The sequence below is a fragment of the Homo sapiens genome, chromosome 2, assembly GCF_000001405.40.
Source record: "Homo sapiens chromosome 2, GRCh38.p14 Primary Assembly".
NCBI classification, from domain to species: domain Eukaryota; kingdom Metazoa; phylum Chordata; class Mammalia; order Primates; family Hominidae; genus Homo; species Homo sapiens.
The window spans coordinates 4,690,644-4,714,293 of record NC_000002.12 but is presented as its reverse complement, the minus strand read 5'-3'; positions in this window follow the sequence as shown (position 1 = coordinate 4,714,293).

Below are 23,650 nucleotides of genomic sequence, written 5' to 3'. Positions count from 1 at the left end.
TAGTGTACCTTAAAAATACACTAAAAGAAGCTGTAAAAAAAGTCTATGAATGTGGATTGTACCATGTAGAAGAAATTGACCGATTTCTCAAAAACATAAGTTATCAAAACTTACCCAAGAAAAATTAGATAACCAAAATAGGTTTGTACTACCCTCCAATTATCTAGGCCAAAATTGTCTCAATGGTGAATTCTACCAAATGTTTTAAGAAGAAATAATGTCAATTCTACACAATCTATTTGAAAGATAAGATGAAGAAAACATCCTCAGACATTTTATACTAGTATTACCCTTCTACCGAAACCATACAAAGACAGTACAAGAAAAGAAAAACAATATTGAAATGAATAGACCTTCAATATAAAATTAGGAAATCAATTCTAATTCTAATAATATATAAAGCAAATACTGTACCATGACCAAATGGACTTTATCCTGACAATTCAAAGCTACTTCAATATTTTTAAATCAGTGTACTCTGCCATAAAAACAACTTAAAAAAGAAAAATCACATGATTATATGAATTGGTATAGAAAAAGCACTAAGGAAAGTTCAACATCAAGTCATAAAAACCTATTCTAAGTAGGGATAGAAGAAAACTTCCTCAGCCTGATAAAAGGTATTATACAAAAATCATAGAGCTAATATTATACTTAATATCAAGCTTGAATGCTTTTCCCCTATGTCTAAGAACTAGGCAAGTATTTTCACTCTCACTGCTCCTATTCAGCATTTTAATGAAAATGCTAGGCAATGCAACAAGGCAAGAAAAAATACACAACTGTGAAAAGGAGGATATAAACTTATTCCTATTTAAAGACAACATGACTCTATGTGGAATTTCAACTAACATGTGATGGCGATGAGGAAGAAGAAGAAGGAGGAGGAGGAGAAAAGTAATTCTAGCAAAATTGTAGAATACAATGGAAACATAAATATCAAGTGGATTTCTGTATGTAAACAATGAACGATGGAGATAAAAAACAGCATTTTAAAAATAGCTTCAAAATACAACATTCTTAGAAATTTGACATCATAAAACATATAAAGAATGTGCATGTTAAAAACTGGACAAACTGCTGGCTAAATATGTCAATTAAGACCTAAATAAATGAAAATACATACTGTGTGAATTAGAAGACTCAATACTGGAAAGCTGCCAATTTTATAGACATTTCGAAGTCCTTTAATTATTAAATGTTACTGTAAATAACACTGATTTCAGATTCATTTTCTATCTTGTAGTTGACAAAAACCTGGCCTAACTTAGCAGTAGAATTATTTTTAAATTCAGTAACTTCACCAGTAGAAGCTTTAGTATTGATTATTATTTGTCAAAATTTTCTGAGACATGATATATTCTTTTGTTTTCAGATATGGGTATTATTTTACTTCAGAAATTATTTTCTGTGTTATATGTCTATACAGATTTCTCTTTAAAATTTGCTGTGCATCTCTTTCAGAATGGAAGTATGTATATAGTAAGTATTATTTATCTGTATTTTATAACTACCATCTTATTTCAACAACTTTAACTCCTTTTTTTATTTTATTTCCTTTGGTTATTTTGTGCATCTCCAGCATTTCACTCTTTTCCATTTTAATCCTAACTTTTAACACAAAAATATATTTAATTCAGGAAAAAAATTTTTTTTTGATTCAATTGTCTGCTCACTCTTCATTTACTTTTGTTGTCCAAAAATTTCTTTTATATTCCATATACCTCTTCTGTGACAGTTGAAAAACATTTATATTTTGTTTATTTGTCAAGCATGTAAAGATTTTAAAAATTAATTATTCTATTGTTATTTATACATTATCTATATTCTTTTCTTTTTTAACTTTAAATGTGTGTTTCTGGTGACCCGAGTGTATTTTTTTATGTTATTTATTTCTCTTTAGCAGGTTGTGATTGGCTACTGGAAATTCTTCTAACAGTCCCTTTTCTTCATTTTCTGTTTTTCTAATTATTATTATAAGTGTGCCACTGAAGTCTCCAATCATTATTGTTTACTTTTTCCTTTAATTCGGTCAGTTTTTTGCTTCATTTATGTTGCGGCTCTATTATTAGGTGTATACGTGTTTATAATTGTTGCATATATGTTTATAATTATTATTTTTGTATGTTTGTGTAGCTTATATAGTTGAAATGATGAAGGGCAATAAATATAAATTGCAATGTCTGGAATATAGCAGATGCCCTATAAATGCTAATATCTTCTCTTAATATTATCAATACTTTATAAGCACACTTCTTTTTTTGGCACCAGTATTTCTCAGTCATATTAGAAAATTTTAACCAATGATAGCTGATTTAATGTTTAAACAATTTTTAGTACCACTGGACCAATATAGTTTATATTACATACAGATTTATTCTTTTTGTAATAGTTGTAACATTATATACTTATACAGCAGTCAAACTGTTACATATGTAAGAAAAAAGGTATTGAAATTAAGCGAAGGAAATATTAAAATTATATTCAGTAAAATGATTGGTTTAATTTAGAGGCATCTCAGTCAGACTTAGAAAGCCTTCCTCAAAAACTCTACTTTTCTTCTTCTCTTCTGTCATTTGCCCAGTTTGAAACAAGTTCTCTAAACTGGAGTTGACGGTAAATTAGACCCTGACTTCTGACTATGTAGATGTTTGCTAATTTATTCCTCCTAGTGTATATTTAATGAATGCATTCAGAAAAACAAGATAAAATGACTCCTTGGACAATCTGTTAAGAAATGCTAATACTCTTCACTTGGCGTTTTCCTAAAATTATCTATGGCATTTACTAGGTTGGTGCAAAAGTACTTGGAGTTTTTGCCATTGAAAGTAATTTTGCACCAATCTAATATCACACTGTGGTAGTTTCATGATGACAAATACCTTGGGATATTGAAAAGATTAATCACACTATACTCACCCTCAGAAATAGACATATATGAGCCAAACCATATGACTGTAAGAGTCAGATTTGTTAGGGTGGAACATGAGGGGCCCTGGGAGTCCCATTATGCTGTACTTCTCTATGAGGCATTGGTTACATTGATATCCACACCATGGTACTCACAGAGCCACCTGGCATTCTTTTCTGCATTTCTATGGGCATGTTAAGGTTTACAGTTTAGAGAATGCTATGCTTGTGTCAACCAGGTTCTGCGGGAAAAGGCAGTTTTCCCTCCTGATACATAATAGCTTCTCTAAACAGAAACACTAATGTTTGATAGTCAAAATAATATTGACCTGCACATAGAGAGAAACCCTCCATTTGGAATAGTGGACCCTCTTCACTTTGGGTTCCGAATGCAGCAGGCTATCCTTGCTTCTGCTTCACCAGCTCCCTGGCCTCACCTTCAGAGTAAGCTGCAGCCTTCAGTGAAGTTGCACCAAATTCATGACAGGGATGGGCTTTCTCCGCTCACCAAAGTTGATGCTGGCAGTGACGACTTTCATTTCAAAATAGGTTGAAAACAGGTCGGAAATGCTGTTCTTAGTAGTGGGCCCGTGTCTGTTTCTCAGTGTTGGCCAACGTACCTGGGTCATGTGAAATGCTGGCAAGGGAGGACCCCTGTGTGAGGAGGACACAGAGTCTGTCTCCACTACCGCCCAAACTTTTCTGCACATCTTAAATTATTCCAAGACATAAAGTTTATCTTCTTAATAAAGGGATAGAAACTAGCTATGAGGGTGCATCATATCTGGTCTCTTATCCTCAAGAACTCTTAACAAAGAAGATAATGACAGAGTATTGGTGAAATAACCATTACTCTTTAAATTCAATAAAAGAGACGGAACTGCAAGGCTCCTGAAGACGGAAACATGAGACATTTAATTCTGGTGTCTCTTCCAATGTCCTCTCTCATTCAATCTTGTAGTGAGAGGGAGTGACTGAGTCGGGGTAAGATGGGAAGAAGAGTTTGCGTGTGCGTGGCTTGGGTGTGTGGGTTTAGTTTCTTCTCACGCACACCTTCTCCTCCTGGGACACAGCTGGCCCTACTGAGGAGGTCTCCAGGTTGTCAGTTCATACTGTGATTGAGGGAATAAGGATATTTTCAGGGGAAGGGGCAGCACTGAAATATGTGAAATTCCATTTGGCCTAGATATAAGCCACGTCCTTCAATTCAGCTTGGAAAATAAAGTTAATATTTTGATCTCCATCTGTTTCATTTCTATATTTACTTTTCTTTTGATGATGAACTTGGAAGTGAGTTCTGCTTTACTGGAAAGAATTTAATCTCAGTGCAGTGATCATATAAGATTTTTAAACTACTTTACTCATCTCTGATTCCCTTAATCAATTCTAATTTACTAAGATCTGGACAGAGATGAAAAACCAGCTGTATATATTTTCATAGAGTCCAGATGCAAAAGAAACAGAAAAAAAATTCATGATATCTTTTTTAATTAAAGAAATTAATAGTCAAATTAAAGTTGTATACTTTTATTGAGTTCTATATGATGTTTTAAATATGGATGCATTGTGAAATGGTTAAATCAAGCTAGTTAACATATATACTACCTCACATATTTTTTGGGGAGAGAATAAAAAGTCCACTATCTTAGCAATTATCAAGTATACAATAGTTGGTTATTATTAGTTATAGACACCATGTTTTACAATGGATCTTTTGAACTTATCCCTCCTGTGTAACAAAAAGGTTGTGTTTTTTCACAGATATCTCCCCAATATCACCTTATCCCAACCCTCTACTCTCTGCTTCTGAGTTCTGCTCTTATAGATTCCATGTATAAATAAGATCATGGAATATTTTTCTTTCAGTGCCTGGCTTATTTCACTTCAGTTTTTTTTAAGGCTAAATAATATTCCACTGTGTATAAATATCATACTTTATCAACTGAGAAACCCTTAGGCTGATTTATATATTGGCTATTTTGAATAATGCTGCAATGCATGTGGGCGTGCAGACATCCCTTAAACATACTTACCCAATTTCCTTTGGATATCCACCACAGGGATGGGATTACTGGGTCATAAGGTAATTGTATTTTTAGGTTTTTAAGAAACCTCCATACTGTTTCTCATAAGGGTTTCACTAATTTACATTTTCATCAACTGTGTATAAGAGTTTCATTTTCCCCACATCCTCACCAACACTTGATATCTTTTGTTTTTCTAAGTGCCATTCTAACAGGTGTTAGGTGATATCTTATTGTAGTTTTTTTTTTTTTCATTTTTTTTATTATTATACTTTAAGTTCTAGGGTACATGTGCACAGTGTGCAGATTTGTTACATATGTATACATGTGCCATGTTGGTGTGCTGCACCCATTAACTCGTCATTTACATTAGGTATATCTCCTAATGCTATCCCTCCCCTCTACCCCCACCCCACAACAGTCCCCAGTGTGTGATGTTCCCCACCCGATGTCCAAGTGTTCTCATTGTTCAATTCCCACCTGTGAGTGAGAACATGTGGTGTTTGGTTTTCTGTCCTTGCGATAGTTTCCTCAGAATGATGGTTTCCAGCTTCATTCATGTCCCTACAAAAGACATGAACTCATCCTTTTCTGTGGCTGCATAGTATTCCATGGTGCATATGTGCCACATTTTCTTAATCCAGTCTATCATTGTGGACATTTGGGCTGGCTCCAAGTCTTTGCTATTCATGCACATGTATCTTATTGTAGCTTTAATTTTCATTTCCCTGACAATTAGTGATAATGAGCATGCAAGCAAGAGCATGGTAGGCCTGCACTGCATTGAAGGCAGCAGTGTTTGAATCCAGATTTTATACACCTCTATTTACCATTTGCCTGGAGAGGCTTCCATGTCCAAAAATGTATAACATAAAAGCCACTCCAGCTTGACTTTCACCAGCTGCTTTCTCTCCTGTTCATCTCCACTCACATACTGAGGGGAAGAGGAGGGGGCAGGAGGGTGCCATTCTCTTCTCTGAAAGGGAGGTGGGAATGAAAACTAGGGTCTTGGGTTAATGGGCCCCACATCTCTAAATCTGGGGAGAGATATCCTGAAAACAAAGTTTATTTCCACCTTTTTCCCTGCATGTCTGTAGCAGCGAAGCCAGTACATACCCTGAGCAGAAGCAGAGACTCAGGAGAGAGCTGCTCAACACACATCCACGTGTCTTTTAATTAATGTTAGTTTGTATCTAATTCTTGCAGTAGAGCTTTCGGGTTTTTACTATTTTATATTTTCCGTATTGCCTTTCTATGATATGTTAGTGAGAAGCTGGGTACAGATACAGTGCAAACTGCTAGTGAAATACCATATACTGACTCTAATGCTTAAATGTGAAGAAATGAGCAACCTTAGCTTGATCACAAATTAATAACTAGGCCTTATTTGATAAAGTTACAAAATGTACTGAACTTTAGTGAGAAATATTTCTACTGTAGATGCACAATGCAAGATTTTTTATTCAAATACCGTCATCACACCTCTAGGGCGCTAATCACATTTTCTGCATATCTTTTGGGCCCTTAATCTCTTAATCAATACTAGTTTGCGGCTAGCATGATGAATTCAGCACTAATTGAAGGGATGCATATTATTAACATCAGACATTTATCCTAATTGCACAGTCAGTGTTCATTTTTGAGATGAGTAAATTAAAGATTAATTTCTATGGTAGTGAAAGAGCCAGCATGCTGCTGTATCTGTGCTTCATTGTGTGAATAGCGCAGACAGTCAGTGGTGGGAGTTTCTGGTCAATAAACTTTTCCCATCAGTTATTTGCAACAGTCTAACCATTCCATGGATTCAGTGTGTTAAAAAAATATTGTGCATTTCGGGAAGGAAATATAACGTAGCATCCCTTCATCCTGGCAAAATACAAAGACATAAATGTGGTTCCCATTTCTTTCTTTATTCTCCCTACCTGATGCCAGGCAGGCCTGGGTGCTAGCAGTGCAGCACTGATCTTGGGCTAAGGACAGGGTGGTCTAGGCCTGGAGGCTGGTTCTTCTCTTTTAGGGATGTGGCTTTGGGTAAGTCACTTAATCTTCCTGTGCCTAATTCCATCGATTTTGAGGTGGTGATAAGAGCACTTACCGTGCAGGGTTGTTGTGAGAATCAGATGGGCCGATCTGGTTGATTATTTAGACAGTGACCGGGACATAGAGAGCAAGCTAGTAATGAGTTAACTACTACTAGTACTACCAGAACCAATACTATGGCAGTTAACCAAAGCCTGGATGGAAATGAGAAACAGGCAAGTAGAAAACACATAAGTGAGAATGAAGCATTTCCAACATAGATAAGCACAAAGAGGCAAGGAGGCAAGGAGAGGGTGGAAGAGAGGGACAGGAGATAGCGAGCAAACTGCATGCTCTGTCTACAAAGCCTCCGCAGCCTCCTGTTGATGCAAGCTCTCCCTCACTGTCTACACAGCATCCCCAGTGACTTTCTTTCCATGTCCGGCAGACCGCAGCATCCCATTGCAAAATATGCCCTGTGCACTTTTTGTCCCTTTTAACTGAAATAGTCTTTTCCTCCCGCCCTTGCTTAGTTAATCACCATGTTCTATTTTCTGATGTCCCTCAAAGTCAGCTCATCTTGGCCACGCTTCCTGATTCCACGTGTTACCTTGGAGTCCTCCTAGACATCTTCGCATAGCTCTGTGCACTTTACCGCACTAATCAAATTTGTAAGCGTACATTGATTTGTTGAAGGGTATGAATGCTGTCCTCCACATGCTATCATGCTATCATTAATACATTTGGGCAGAGATTTCCTGACATTTCCCACAGTAGACATTCATAAAATATTTGTCAAGGAATGACTGATCCAAACTTCAAAGTCAAGATCAAAATTCATCTCCTTCAGAAACATCTTTCTGATCCTCCCGTGAGGTTTTATCCCTTGTAATATTGAAATGCAGTAGCATCGCATATGACTTCTGTTATCATTATTTGTTCCAAGGATGTTTCTGCCATCTGAGAGCACTGGCAAATCCCAAAACAAGTTCCATTTTATTGTTTTGTTTTGTTTTACAGCCAATCCAAGCAGCAATTTATATATACCTTTGTACTATAGGAGTGTTTGTGTGATGGACAAAAAAGTACTTGTGAAAATCCCTGACTCTCTTACAATAAAAAACAAATGGTTTGAAATTACATTGCAATGATTTTATAAAGATGTTGTCTAAGAAAATTTGTAATATAGAAACTGTTCTTGAATGTCATGGAAACTCTTTCTCCAAAAAGGGCTAGAGTTCAGGGTTCCTTCATAATTTGCTTCATAGTGCCTTAAAGTAAGATTCAAAAACTTAACTCTCTAGATCTATCACTCTAGCACCACTCAGCTACTGAGTGTTGAGGGAACACTGATTTCACTACCTTAGCTTATACCTCCATAGAATGCTGTGTCTCTCCCAAAGCCAGCGCAGGCAAGTAGGAGTTCTTTTCAAGTTTTCTTCTTCCTTGTGGCAGAATTAGCCTGATTGTCATTTGGCAATGAGGAAGGATGCTTCTCCACCTCCTCTCCTCACCTGCCCCTTCAGGTAGGTCTACCTAACCTGCAGATGGCCTTAACATACAGAGAATAGCACAGTGAGTAGTGACTCAGAGAGAAGGATAACAACCTTTATTTGGTTCTGGCTGATTCCAGCCCTCTCCACAGGGAGATATTGTAAACATCATTTCACATATCTGAGTAAGGAATTCGAAACTTTTGAAAAATATAAGCAAGATCAAAGTTTTTGGATAAGAGGGTGAAATGATGCCTGTGAGTTCACGTCCTGAGTTCAGGGATCACTCTTCCTTGTCATGCTCAAAGCCTCGAGGTCTAACTGAACAGCACCTTGCACTTAATAGGCACAGGATAAATAGCTATTGAATCAATAGCTGCATAGTGAGCAACTGCCTAACACACACGTGTGCGTGTGTGTGGGGGCGTGTGTGTGTGTAGCTATGTGGGCAGATATGTAGCCAGTGCTTACTTAAACTACTTGAACAAATATTTGAGTGGATGGACAATGATATTTCCAAAATACAGAGCTAGTGAGCGGCACTGCCAAAGCTGTAATCTACTTCTTCTCTCAGCCTGTAAATTAGCCTTGGTCACTTGTTTCTGATTATGTAAGCTGACCCTGATATATAGGCTTATGTTTATTTTTAAGACAGAGTCTCACTCTGCTCCCAGATTTTCAGGAAATAATTGAATAGTGTAAATATTCATGTCAATTTTAGGCATGGCAATTTGTTTCTTCCCTGTGGTTATTAACACTGTCCATTGTGTTATTTTCTAAAAACAAATGCTTAATTTTTACATAATCTCATACATAATTTTTCCATTTGCTATTTATGCTTCAAGGTTTTCAGAACTCTCTAACACCCCATATCTAAAAACAGTCTCCTTCAATTAACTTTAAATCAACTAACAATGAATTTCCTTCAATTAACTTTGTCATTTCTTTTTCACCTTCAATATTTAATATTTTCAGAGTTCATCTGCATATGTGAAGTTACATGATAATTAAGTGTTTGTATTTCTTTCAATAGTATGCCGTGTTTTCATTCCATTTACTTTTTTTGTTTTTTGTTTTTTGTTTTAAGAATATCCCTCTGTAGCCCAAGCTGGAGTTCAGTGGCACCATCTCGGCTCACTGCAACCTCTGCCTTCCAGGTTCAAGCGATTCTCCTGCTTCAGCCTCCCGAGTAGCTGGGATTAGAGGCGTGTGCCACCATGCCTGGCTAATTTTTGCATTTTTAGTAGAGACAGGATTTCATCATGTTTGCTAGGCTGGTCTCAAACTCCTGCCCTCAGGTGATCCATCTACCATGGCCTCCCAGAGTGTTGGGATTACAGGTGTGAGACACCGCACCTGGATAACAGTCTGTTGTTGATCACCAGTTTTTATATAATTTTTCTTTTGAACACAAGTATATTATAAAAATACTTGAAAGGAGTATTCAAAAATTGATTTTGAATACCGGGTTAAAGATTCAGGTATGGTCGTTTTCCTACTTCGAAATGCAAAGGAGGTAAACTCACAGAAGAAAACGATGTTCACAGAACACCAAGAGATTGGGGATTGTGGCATATCTCTGGGTGAAAGGAAGCAGATGGGAGGATGTTTACTGACGAAATAGTATGAGAAGTTGTAGTTAAAAACACAAATTAGGCCGGGCGCGGTGGCTCACGCCTGTAATCCCAGTACTTTGGGAGGCCGAGTCGGGCGGATCACGAGGTCAGCAGATCGAGACCATCCTGGCTAACACGGTGAAACCCCTCTGGCTAACTCAGTGAAACCCCGTCTCTACTAAAAATACAAAAAATTAACCAAGCGTGGTGGTGGGCGCCTGCTGTCCTAGCTACTCTGGAGGCTGAGACAGGAGAATGGCTTGAACCTGGGAGGTGGAGCTTGCAGTGAGCCCAGATTGTGCCACTGCACTCCAGCCTGGGTGACACAGCGAGACGCCGGAAAAAAAAAAACAACAAAAACAAAACAAAACAAAACAAAAAACATGACTTAGTCAGGAAACAGTCTTTCAGTTGGAGCCTATGAAAGACTCAGGAGGTAAATTTTGAGGTATGGAAGTTAGGAAAAGAGAAGTTGCAAAATGGTGAAGGGTCTATTGAAAACTAAAAAAGAAACTTCAAACCAGATGTTCCTGTCAAACAGAACGAGTAAAGGATATGAAAAACCAAAGCAATAAACAAAAACAGCAACAAAGAAAAAGTTCTCTTTTTTAAAAGTCTGAATGTAATCTTGGGAATAATAAGGGTTGCCAGAAGTACCAACACCTAAAACAAACACTTACTTCCAAAATCTGGAAATAAGGGACCCTCAGGCTATTGGCTCCTTTTGACCCCCAAACTAGCCTAAAAAATGAAAAACACAGCTCTTATACTTATCACAGCTCCATTCACACTTCCCATGAAAAGAAACAAGATTTTTTTTTTGTTTTTGCTTTATTCATATAGAAAACAAGGAAACACCGAGGAGAAAGCAAGAATGATAATCAGTCTTCTAAATGCTAAGTGGGCAATCAGGATTCACCAGTACCTATAAAATGAAAATGAAAACCCGATATAGACAGAGAAAGACTAACCTAACTGAATTTGGAGATCAAAATAAAATTTTTAAACATTATTATTACCTTCCCCAGAGTTTCAAATACAATTTGAATAAGAACTTTGTTTAAATGTTATTATTAAAAAAATAAGCAGAGAACAAGAAAGAGTCATTGGACAGTTGAACATTCAATTACCAAATAATAGAAAAATTAAATGTGCGAGCTGGACCATAAAGTCAAAACAAGTCTTCAAGAATATAGAGCACATAGACAAAGAAATGAAAATACAATGGAAAACAAACAAATAAACAAACAGAAAAGAGAACTTGAGACTCGGCCACCGGGGATATTCAACATTTACCCTCAGAATTTCCCAGAAAAGAGCATGAAAGAGGGAAAATGTTCAAGTAAATAACGCAGAAAATTCCCAGAACTTAAAAAGAATTTTTTTTTCCATAGAAAATGTTTGTAAAGAGAGATAATAGGATTAAAGGGGGAAAAAAGCCCATCACTAGATAAGTTCTTGTGAAATGTCAGAACATCAAGGATAAAGATTATTTTAAACCTTTTAAAAACATAAAAGAAACCTATTATACTGCTTATATGATCTAAGAGGAAATAATGACCAGTCTATCATCAATGCCACTGGATACAAGAAGGCAATAAGGTGAAACCTTTAAGGTTCTGAGCAAATATTATTTTGAACTTAGACTTCTAAGCCCAGCCAAACCATCTATCAAGTGTGAGACAAATTTTATATACATATATACGCATATATTATCTATATGTTTGTATTATACTTAAAATATTTTCCATATGAAAGGGCCATTGGAAGTCTACTATAAAAACGGTACAGAATCAGATGACACTTTATTCAGTTAGGACTAGGTGATGTGGAATGGTGTCTTTTTGGAAAAAATAATGCAAGCAGTAGCTATTATGATTGAGAATTTTAATAAATGTAAGGCTATAAGAAAAGCTTCATTTTTTTTTGTCAAAAACAAAAACAAAAAAAAAGCAAATAGAAATGACAATTACATATAAAGCTCCACTAGTAATTCAAGGTCCAAATCTAAAGCTTAGAAATACTTTAAATATGGAAGTAATTCAACCTGAATCTTTAACCAGATATCTTGAATCAAATTCTGTGCATGCCTTTTCAAGTGCTTTTGTGTTGCATTTGTGTTAGTAAGAAAATATGTGACATTATATTTAGCATTTTAAAAAGTACAAACAAAACCGATTTATTTGTTCAAGATCTGCCAAAAACATCTTCCTTCAAGTTGCACGTGGTGTTGGCATTGAAACTTGAAGGAAAGTCATGTCATCCTATACCACTCGCTCTGTACAAAACAATATTGTTCTGGTTACAATCATGTAAATGCTGTTTATGAGATTTTCAGGTTTAGTGTTAATTTTTGGGCAAATCAGAAGATTTAGCTGTGAGATAAAATGGAAATGTGATAGAATAGGAAAAAATATAAATATGTAACTGGCAAAATTTAGGCAATTAATAAAAGAGAAACGGTACAAGAAAGGGAGACTTTACAAATACCCTCAATATACACAGTGAGTAATGTAGTCTCAATTGATGCAACAAATGGTCAATGTTTAAGTAGATTATTTGTTAACATTATGTTAATATTATTTAAATTCACAAAAGAAGCTAATTGAAGATCTCAAAATTACATAAGAACAGCAGAGAACTATGGAGAAATAAAACAGGTATTTATATGTTTGACTTTGATAGTTGTGAGGCAATATAGTCTAAGTATGATGAAAACAATGAATTAAAATTCATTTTAGCTGTGCGGTTTAATATTGTAAGGGTAGAAAGAAAAAGAAATTGAGAGAGGCAGAGAGAGGGAGGTTATTGAAGGGGCATTCCATCTAAAGATTGTGCTACCAGCTTGAAAATGTTGTTGAGTTATAAGAGGAAGAGAAAAAGAATGACTAAGAAAATCATTATATTAACTTGGTTACTACTTCATAATGTATTTATTTTGTAATTAATATGCAGCACTTAAATAGCTAGACTTCACCCTACTCCTCAAAAGACAGTCTTTCAAGCTATCCCGTTTTCCCATGGAGCCATTAGATGTCTTACAGTAGAGTATAACATTTGGCTGTTAAATGATTTTTTCTTATTTAGCATTCCCTCTTTGCATAAAAATTGCCTGATGTCGCTGACCTATAAGAACAGTTAATCCTAATAGTAGGCTACAGTGTATTCAGCCACGGAGTTTTATTATTTATGACACAGAAATTAATTCAAAGATCAACTGGGAAACGAAAAGAATTAAAGAAGTCCAGCGTATTTTACCAATGAACAAGAAAATAATCTTTTTTGCTGGATAGCTGGGGATTACTGTGTTTTGTATACACATCATTTCTTTCAAAGACTGCAAAAGAGTATTGACTTGGAGACAGAACATTGCAGAGATGTAGCTAACGTAATTTTTTGGCACCTAAGTTTAATTCAAAAGGATTAAGTAAGTGTATTCATAGATTTTAAACCAATCAAATCACAAAGCCAATTCCTGCATTAATTTTCCAGCAAACTTAATTATACTGCCCCAAGCTCTGACTTCTTATCAATTAATCGAGCTGTAAAAACCCGGAGCCTAATTCTACAATGTATTAATCAACACATCTGATGTAGGAAACAGACTTTATTGTAATCTCTCAGCTAAAAATCAAACCAGGAACCACTGTCGATTTAACCATATTCAACTTAAAACACATTAATATTTTAACTAATTAATTCTTTAAAATTGTGCTAGTTGACCAGATGAGACAGCAAAGTAGATATTTAGAAACAAGAAAACGAGAGTCATACTGACTGAGCACAAATTTTACTTTTAAAATTAAACAAAAAAAGTCTAAATGCAGCAGTTTCAAGCAGAAGTAAGAGCTGTTTAAATGCGTGTAAAAAGGTGTAAAACCATGGTGGGCAATCAGGAGCCCTCTCCAGAAATAATGCAAAAGACAGCTTCCATGCATCTGGTGGTGAAGTCTAGCATTAGTGGTCAAGTCTAGCAAAGTTAGACAAAGATTCATGCACTGTTCCTGTTCCAAGTTTTTAATGTTATATCATTAGGGACTTTCCACCAAAGATGACTGAGAGTTGATATGCTAGGCTTGGATGACAACTCCTGTTCAGGAAAGGTAAAAAGATAAAAAATGGAGTTAGTAGAAATCCCATAGTACCTTTTACTGTAGAGAGACAAGAGTTCATGACCCCATAGGTCAGACATGTTTAAGTACAAAATTGTCAGACATCTGAAGCTTGTAGTCTATAATTTTGAAGAATAGAAAGAAAACAATTTGGAAAGGAGTGTGAATTAATTACAGTTAAAAAAAAAAAAAAAAAAAAAAACGCGTTCACACTTGTAATCCCAGCACTTTGGGAGGCTAAGGCTGGTAGATCACCCAAGGTCAGGAGTTCGGGACCAGCCTGGCCAACATGGTGAAACCCCGTCTCTACTAAAAATACAAAAAATTAGCCGGACATGGTGGCAAGCACCAGTAATCCCAGCTACTCAGGAGGCTGAGGCAGGAGAATCGCTTGAACCCAGGAGGCGGATGTTGCGGCGAGCTGAGATCACGCCATTGCACTCCAGCCTGGGGGGTAAGAGTGAGACTCTGTCTCAAAAACAAAAACAAAACAACAACAACAAAAAAACATTTAAACATTTATATATACTGATATTTGCCAAACTCATATGGCATTCGATCAATATTAAATTAAAAATACAATGAATTCAGTAGAGTTAAGATTTCCATATTACCTAAAGAGTGAGTTCCAAAGCCTACAAGATAGTATTGTATTTCAGCCTTATATCATCTTTTTATGACAAATAAGGTAAGTTTTAAAATCAAAACAAGTCAATTTTACAAGCTTTTCTCCTCCCTTTTGTTTGCTCTTTACTTTTGTTAAAAATTTAGTGAAGATAACATATTTTACGTTTATTTTCCAAACTAGAAAGGAGATAAACAGGAGAGATTCTGCACTACTTTCTCCTCTAGTACAACCTCAAGCCATTTCTGTCTCCACTCCCTCAAAGGACATTGACCATTTATCTTTGGAAAATCTGTTTCCTCTGCCTCTCCTCATTTTAATGCCTCCATTCCTTCCGTGACCTGGATGTCAACTGCATAACCCTATTCAGATGCTTGTAAACTGATTTCTTAAGTTCCAAAGCAATTAGATAGTTATTACATACTTTCAGAACCCCTTCATTTACTTCTTTTTAGATGTTCCTTTTCTTCCCCACGTAGAGTCTGCTGCTTTATCTAGTCATGGTTAAAATATGCTCTGTTTGATAGCAGTAAAATTATGTGATGCACAGGATTTCTGTGTAAATTTTACACCTACATTACCATGCTACAAGCTTAAGGAAGAGGTAGAGCTATTCATAGATGTAAAAGCCAGGAACTCTTCTAGGCACTTACGTATATTTAATTATCACAACTATTCTCAAGATTGAAGCACTTTTGTCCTCATACTAGATTGACACAAACTGAGGTTCGAGATGTGGTACATGGTCTAGCTGGGATTTGAACTTAGGCGTGACTGTCTCTAAGCCTCAAACACTAATGTAACGTGGTGTATTTTACATTTCTTTCTTCTCTTTTCTTTTCTTTCTTTTTTTTTGAGATGGAGTCTTGCTCTGTCGCCCAGGCTGGAGTGCAGTGGCATGATCTCAGCTCACTGCAACCTATACCTCCCGGGTTCAAGTGATTCTCCTGCCTCAGCCTCCCAAGCAGCTGAGACTACAGGCGTGCACCACCATGTCCAGCTAATTTTTGTATTTTTAGTAGAAATGGGGTTTCACCATATTGGCCAGGCTGGTCTCTAACTCCTGACCTCATGATCCACTCACCTCAGCCTCCCAAAGTGCTGGGATTACAGGGCTAAGCCACCATGCCCAGCCGCATTTCTTTATTATTTTTTAACCCATACTCTATAAGCCTCCCCTTCATTTACATGTGGGCCATTTCTTTTCATTAGCATATAATATGTGATTTAGGGAAGACAGAATTTTGTTAATATTAAAACAAAATTTTAAAGTAAACCTTTAGACATAACTATGAATTATTTTGAGGATTTAAATAATAAATGATTAAATAGAGATACCTTAAAATATTGTTGGATTTGGAAGTTTCCATTTCTTTTACCTTTCCTGTGTCGTACAATTTTTCTATAAAAAGTGTAAGTAATTTTACTGTGGATTTAATAAACATTATTTTTTTAAAAGACACCTTCTGTGAACAGAAAACATTTTACTTTCTTGGTGGGATCAAACCAAATCAAAGCTTTAGAACACTCTTTTAGATGGAAAAAATGATTAAAATTTAATGTTATATATTAATACGTGTATGTTAAATTCAAAAAGACTTGAATAACTTTATTATACAGAATTTAGTAGAGCAAATAATAGAATTGATTATAAGGACCTACAGATATGATTCTACCATTTAATACCCATGCTATTTAGTCACTCTTAGCTCTTTTTTCCACAAAATAAAAATAAATAAATCATTGTAGGGTTGTTATGATAGCTCAATGGCGTTAAAAGAGATAATATGAGTAAAGTGCCTAGCCAAGTACTTGGCATATCATAAGCACTGAGTACATAGAAGCTCTTATACGATATGAAAAAGCCATTATAAAGGTTCTTGATTTATGAATATTATGGAGTAGCTATTATATGACTAAATGATCAAATGATCTTCATGCAGTTTTTATAGAAGCGAGTTATTTTTGGAGTCTTACTATTTCAGGGCTGGAAAGGGCCTTGAAGATAAAATATAGTTTTTAAATATGTAAGGATGCAGGTGACTATGCCCTCACCCAGAGAATCAGAATGCTTGGAAGATGGGCACTTGTAATTTTCAAAGCAGCTTCAAGGGACTTAGAGTTTGTATGATGCCGTGTGCTTAAGAGCCCTGTATCATTTCCTATTTTGTGGGGATATGCAAATGACGGAATGAGAAAAAAATATGCAAATAAGGACCCAGAGAAGTTTAGTAATCTAAGAAGTAGCCTAAGGACCACTGACTTCTAACGCAGGATTTTTCCTTCTATAACACACCCGCTCTTTTAAAAAAGACCATTGCATAAGGAATTTAATTGCTTCCTTTTACTATTCACTTTCACTAAAGTTGTATTCTTCTCAGCCAAGGAATTATAAATAGCTTCGGAAAAGATTGTTTTTAAACGAGACCTGGCCTAAATGAGCCCATGGTACACATCATATGCTTTGCCTCGCAGGGACATCTTACTCCACAGTGACAACCACAGGCAGAGGCCCTGTTTCAACACAGGGAAGAAAAGCTATCTTGGATCTCAGTGGGAAAGGTCCTTTTTAATCACCACGGGAAGTGATTTCAAACAGCAGGTATTTTTAGATTTATCTCAAAGCCAGAAGAAGTGTCTGTGTGTGCCTGTGGGAAGGAGAAAAGGAGAGAGGGAAAGATACAGAGACAGAGAGAAAAAGAGAGGCAGAAAGAGACAAAGAGAGACACACAGAGAGACAGAGGTGTCCGGATATTCATGTGTGTTTGTTAACATTTATTGTGTATACGTATTCTCTCTTACCATATGGCAAATAATCATGAAGAAAACAGCAGAGAGAAGTAAAATAGGGCTTTATTAAGATAATTGCTTCAATATATACTTGAAGGTATTAACACCAGATAATGTGAAACAATAATCAGGAAAATATTTCACCCACTAACCCAAGCTATCTGGCGATACTGGTAACAGTCTGCCCTTTCAACATCAGATGAACTACTAGCAGACACCCTGTACTTTTCATTTAAGAAAAGCTCCAGGACTTCTCTGTTTCCAAAAATAATAAATAAATAAATAAATTTAAAGAAAGAATTAGGTTCCTTACAAAAGAGGATAATAGGAACACCAAACAGGTCAAATCATAGTACTATTTATGCCAGCCTGGTTTGAAAAAATGATCTATATATACAATGCATTATTATGGGGTAAGCAATTGCAACAAAGTCGCTCCACCTCCTCCCTGGTTGCTGCAGGCCTCTCTGTTCCCAGTTCAACAGAAGCAGCATGGATGGATGCAGCAGGCTCTCAATCAAGGGCAGATAAGAATCCCTCTTCGCATGTGCTGCTGCTCTACTTTGGGGATGGCTCGAGTCTTCACACTACACAGTCACTGTTTCCTCTGGACTTTTAAGAAGGTTTGCAAGTACCTCTCTCATCCTTAACATTTCATGATGATTTTGTCTACTGGCAGACGCTACCACAACCTCTAGCAAAAATAAACGATAACAAAATAAACATTTTGCTCACTTGGCGAGAGAGTGCCCAAGGGAAGAACTTGTCTTTTGGTGTTTTTTATTAATCAACTGCTGATAAAAATATACCTACATAGAACAAAAATCTCCTCACTCCAGTGATAAGCAGTCTGACAATTTCCAAACATGTTGAAATGCTTTGGAACCAAACAGTTCTTCTTTCCATCCCCAGTTAAGCTGCTTTCTGGTTGGTGATCTCAGGCTTTACTGATCTTAGATTTCTTCACCTGTGGAATGGGGTGAAGGACAATAATGACTCAATAGGGAGGGTTTTGCTGGAGTCGGGTCCCAGTGGCTCACTAGAGCCTACTGTGTACACCCCTTCCAAACTCTGCACTCTACAGCATGACACTGCTAGTGGGAAACCTGCCATCTCTGGGGTATTATATCATAGAAATTGGCAAACACTAAAAATCTTTTTTTCTCCAGACAGCTTTAAAGATTAACCAGCACACCACAGCTCATAAGGTTGTGTTAAATTGTAAATGATCTAGAGGATTTAGCACAGGTAAATGTTTAGTCACTTAGAGCTACCTGCCCCCTTCTCCCACTTTTGTTTCCTGTCTGGTGAAGTTTGCGCTTGTTCTCCAACATTTCTCAACACAACATTCAGGTTTTATCCTTACAGCTACATAAACTGAGACTATGTAGAAACAAAAAGGATTTTGGAGTCAGGCAGAGAGAGAGAGAGAGAGAGAGAGAGAGAGAGAGAGATGCCAGCCCACAGGCACTTACTGTATGACCACCAAAAATTCTGTAGTGCCAATCTGTTTCCTCATCTGATAAATAAATAGGAAAATACGTCCTTGCGGTTTGTATAAAGGAAACTGAGAGAGCAAAATTAAAGGTCAATCATTAATAAAGGTCAATTTAATAATAAATTAAATGCCAAGCAAATACTCATTGCTTGGCATTTAGGAAAAATTTAATTTTCTTGCTTTTTTAAGAGAGATTCTAGAGACTTTGAATAACTAAAATAATTTTTAAAAAACAATAAATTTCCCGCTTTATTTGAAATGGTGCATTTCTGGGCATCCTCGGGAGTGTATCAGGCTGTGGGCAGCAGCATCACACCTTCAAGGTGATGTTTCTCAGGCTCGTGCTTTGCTTATTCATCTTAGGACTTGGGGAAAACAAGGAAGTCCTTGGTAGTCCTGGGCAGGCAGAACCCTGGATAAGGCTTCCCTGAAGGAGAGGCAAATATTTAGACAAAAATTGAACAGCTTTAAACCTACCTAAATGCTACTTTACAAATTGCCATACAGAAAAAAAAAATCAAGTGTTCACTCTCATGAGTATGAATTACAATAGAAAAAAAACGTAGGCTGAATGGGGAGAGATAAACACTTGTAAATGATGTGCAGAATGGTGTTGGTAACCTTCAGCAAATAACATTTTGCGTATCAAAGAATATGCTCTTCAAATCCTAAAGGAAAACCAAGCAGTGAATCTGAGATGAATGTGGCTTTAGATTAAATGGTTTTCACCAGGGTCATTTTAGCATGTGATTTTCTTTTGTCCCAACTAGCACACAAATCTGCTTTTCTATTTGCAAGTGAAGTCCTAGACACGTGTATAGCGGTAATCTTAGATACAGTCACCTTGGGTGGTTTAAGTGTTAGTTTAAGTCTCATGTAATCTTACCCAGTTCACCCTCCTTATTCATCAAGGATTATTTACAGAAAAATAAGAGTTGGTGAATATATATCCTGTTGGAATTTTATAATAAAACAATCTAATTTACAAAGCCCTTTTCTCTTATAAAGGCATTGAGGGAGCTACATAATTAAATGGCTGTCATAAAATTAAAAGAATCTATTTCTAACCTCATTTGAAAAGTTAGCTGGAATCTTAACATGATAGCTATATTATTTTTGTACTTTTTTTATTCGTATTTTTCTTCATGCTTGCTGTAGCCTATTTCATGACTTCCCTTCACTGTTTCTTTTAAAGTGCACCTCATGCCATTAAATGCAAAGTGTTTCTGTATGTCTGCAAGAAGGAACATTTGAAAATATTCATGCCATACAGTAACCGACTGTTAATATGTCTAGGAAGGAATTAAAATATCCTAATACATAACTTGACAAACCATCAAGAGATGGTTCTTTATTTTTCTCCAACAAGTTGAAAGAAGAAAATAAATACATCAAATTAGTTTAAATGCTAATGTAAAGTCATTCAGCAATTCCTCAACATACCTAGTATTAACCAGTCCCGTTGCTGACCCTAATTCCCCAAGACCAGCAGGTATATGATCCAGACTATCTTTCTTCTGAAGTAATTTATGTGTCTGGGAAGCATTTTGCTTTTTTTACTCAAATTATGGTGATGACTGTTTTTATGTCGTCACAGGAGATCATCCTTTCTGCTCCTTTTACTCTCCTCTCAGTGCCTCTCCATGCTCAGGCCATCACTTTTCACGTCTCCAAGTTCTCTCTCCGTCTTCCCTCTCCCCACGCAGCCCACACAGCTCTGAGGGGCCATGTGATCATAGGGCCATGACTCACAGGCAGACTTGGAGAGCCGTCTGCGGGTTTCCTGTGTCTTTGCACCCTCCCAACCACAGTGAGACTATTAATTCCCTTGGAGTCGAGGAAAACTAACTGAAAAATATGATTTGAAGACAAACTGGGTCACTCGGGATTCTGTACAGGAAATAGAAAATCGTGTCAGAATTTAAATAGACAAGAACATCTTAAAGGGAATTTGGTGCTTCAAAAAATGTTTTGGAGAAAAACATTTGGTATGCCACTAGGAATGAATTTCAGAGAGAAAAACATCAAGCTCACTAGAAATCTCATTCCTAAGAAACCACTACCAAAACTATTAAATTCAAGAAGAACACGTCTCAGCTGTGATCTGGGGAACTGGGCAGTCAGAAACCTGAAGCCTCCACCACAGTGGCCTCTTGTGTGGCTGCCTCCACTCACCTGGAAAGTGTGGATGTGATCATTGCATGCTACTGCACAGACTTCCTATTTTGACGGTGCCATTACCATCTCAAAATCAGCCCAAAGTACCAGGAAGATGGTTTCTATGTCACTTCTACATTGAAAGCATTATAAAAGGGACTAGGACTCAGCTGCAAATGAATCCAAGAAGTTCAGTCTTGGTTCCCTACCCTTTCACTCTACCCATCAGTACAGAAGGAGGGTGGATGGAAGTTTAGCAGCTAATTCATATCTGCTGTTTTAGTTCATGTACTAGTCAACGTTCTCTAAAGGGACAGAACTAATAGGATGTGTATATATTTAAAGGGGAGTTTATTGGGAGAATTGACACTTGTGATCACAAGGTGAAGTCCCACAGTAGGCCATCTGCAAACTGAGGATCAAGGAAGCCAGTCCAAGTCCCAAAACCTCAAAAGTAAGGAAGCTGACAGTGCAGCCTTCAATCTGTGGCTGAAGGCTGAAGAGACCCTGGCAAACCACTGGGGCAAGTCCAAGAGTCCAAAAGCTGAAGAACTCGGAGTCTGATGTTCAAGGGCAGGAAGCATCCAGCATGGGAGAAAGATGAAGACTGGAAGACTCAGCAAGTCAGGTCTTCCACCTTCTTCTGCCTGCCTTATTCTTTCTTTCTTTTTTTTTTTTTTTTTTTTTTTGAGATGGAGTCTCACACTGTTGCCCAGGCTGGAGTGCAGTGGCCCGATCTTGGCTCACTGCAAGCTCTGCCTCCCAGGTTCACACCATTCTCCTGCCTCAGCCTCCGGAGTAGCTGGGACTACAGGCGCCTGCCATCACGCCTGGCTAATTTTTTTGTATTTTTAGTAGAGACGGAGTTTCACCGTGTTAGCCAGGATGGTCTGGATCTCCTGACCTCGTGATCCTGCCTGCCTCGGTCTCCCAAAGTGCTGGGATTACAGGCGGGAGCCACCGTGCCAGGCCCTGCCTGCTTTATTCTAACAGCTCTGGCAGCTGATTAGATGGTGCCCACCCAGACTGAGCACGGGTCTGCCTCTCCCAGTCCCTGGACTCAAATGTTAATCTCCTTTGGCAACAACTCACAGACACACCCAGGAACAATTCGCATTAAATACTAACCATTACAGTTCATTTTCTGTTGCTTATAACAGAATTCCTGAAACTGGGTAATATGGTTTGGATGTTTGTACCCTCCAAAATTTTATGTTGAAATGATAACTCCTATGTTAGAGGTAGGACCTGGTGTGAGGTTTCAGATCATGGGGATGAATCTCTCATGAATGGCTCAGCACCATCCCCCTGGTGATGAGTGTGTTCTTTCTCAGTTAGTTCATGTGATATCTTGTTGTTTAAAAGAGCCTGAGACCTCCCAGCCCTTTTGCTCTTGCTCCCTCTCTTGCCATGTGACACATCTTCTAGCCATTCGCCTTCCTCTATGATTGAAAGCTTCTTGTGGCCTCATCAAGAGCAGATGCCAGCATCACACTTCCTGTACAGTCTGAAAAATCACAAGCCAATTAAATCTCTTTATAGATTACCAGTCTCAGGTATTTCATTATAATAATGCCCCTGGACTAATACAGAAAATTGGTACCAAGGAGCAAGACATTGCTATAAAGATACCTGAAAATGTGGAAGCAGCTTTGGAACTGGGTAATGGGCAGAGGTTGGAAGAGTTTGGAGGTCTATAAAGAAGATAAGAACACGAGGGAAGCTTTGAAACTTCTTAGAAACTTGTTAAGTGCCTGTGACCAAAATGCTGATAGAAATGTGAAGAGTGAAGGCCAGGCTGAGGAGGTTTCAGATGGAAGTGTGGAACTTACTGAGAACTGGAGTAAAAGTCACCCGTGTTACACCCTAGCATTATACCTTGGCTGCATTGCATTCATGCTCTAGGGTTGTGTGGAGTTTTGAACTTAAAAGTGATGACTAAGAATATCTTGTGGAAGACATTTCTAAGCATCAAAGCATTTGAGAGTTGATCTGGCTGCTCCTAACAACCTATGATCAGACGTGAGAACAAATAAAGGACTTAAAGTTGGAACATATATTTAAAAGTTTGGATAATTTGCAGCCTAACCATGTGGCAGAGAAAGAAAAAGTTTTTTGGGGAAAGGAATCTAAGCAGACTGTGAAGCAAGTACTTGCTAGAAAAAATAGCACGACTAAAAGGGAGCCAAGTGCTAATATCCAAGACAATGGGAACAAAACCTGGAAGGCATTTCAGAGACCTGCCAGACAGCCCCTTCTAACACAGGCCTGGAGGCCTCAGAGAGAGACTGGTTTCCTGGGACAAGCCCAGGACCTGACTTCCATGAGCAGCCTTGGGACACTGCTTCCCAAATTCTAGCCAGTCTAGCTCCAGCCTCAGCTCAAAGGGGCACTAGTGTAACTCAG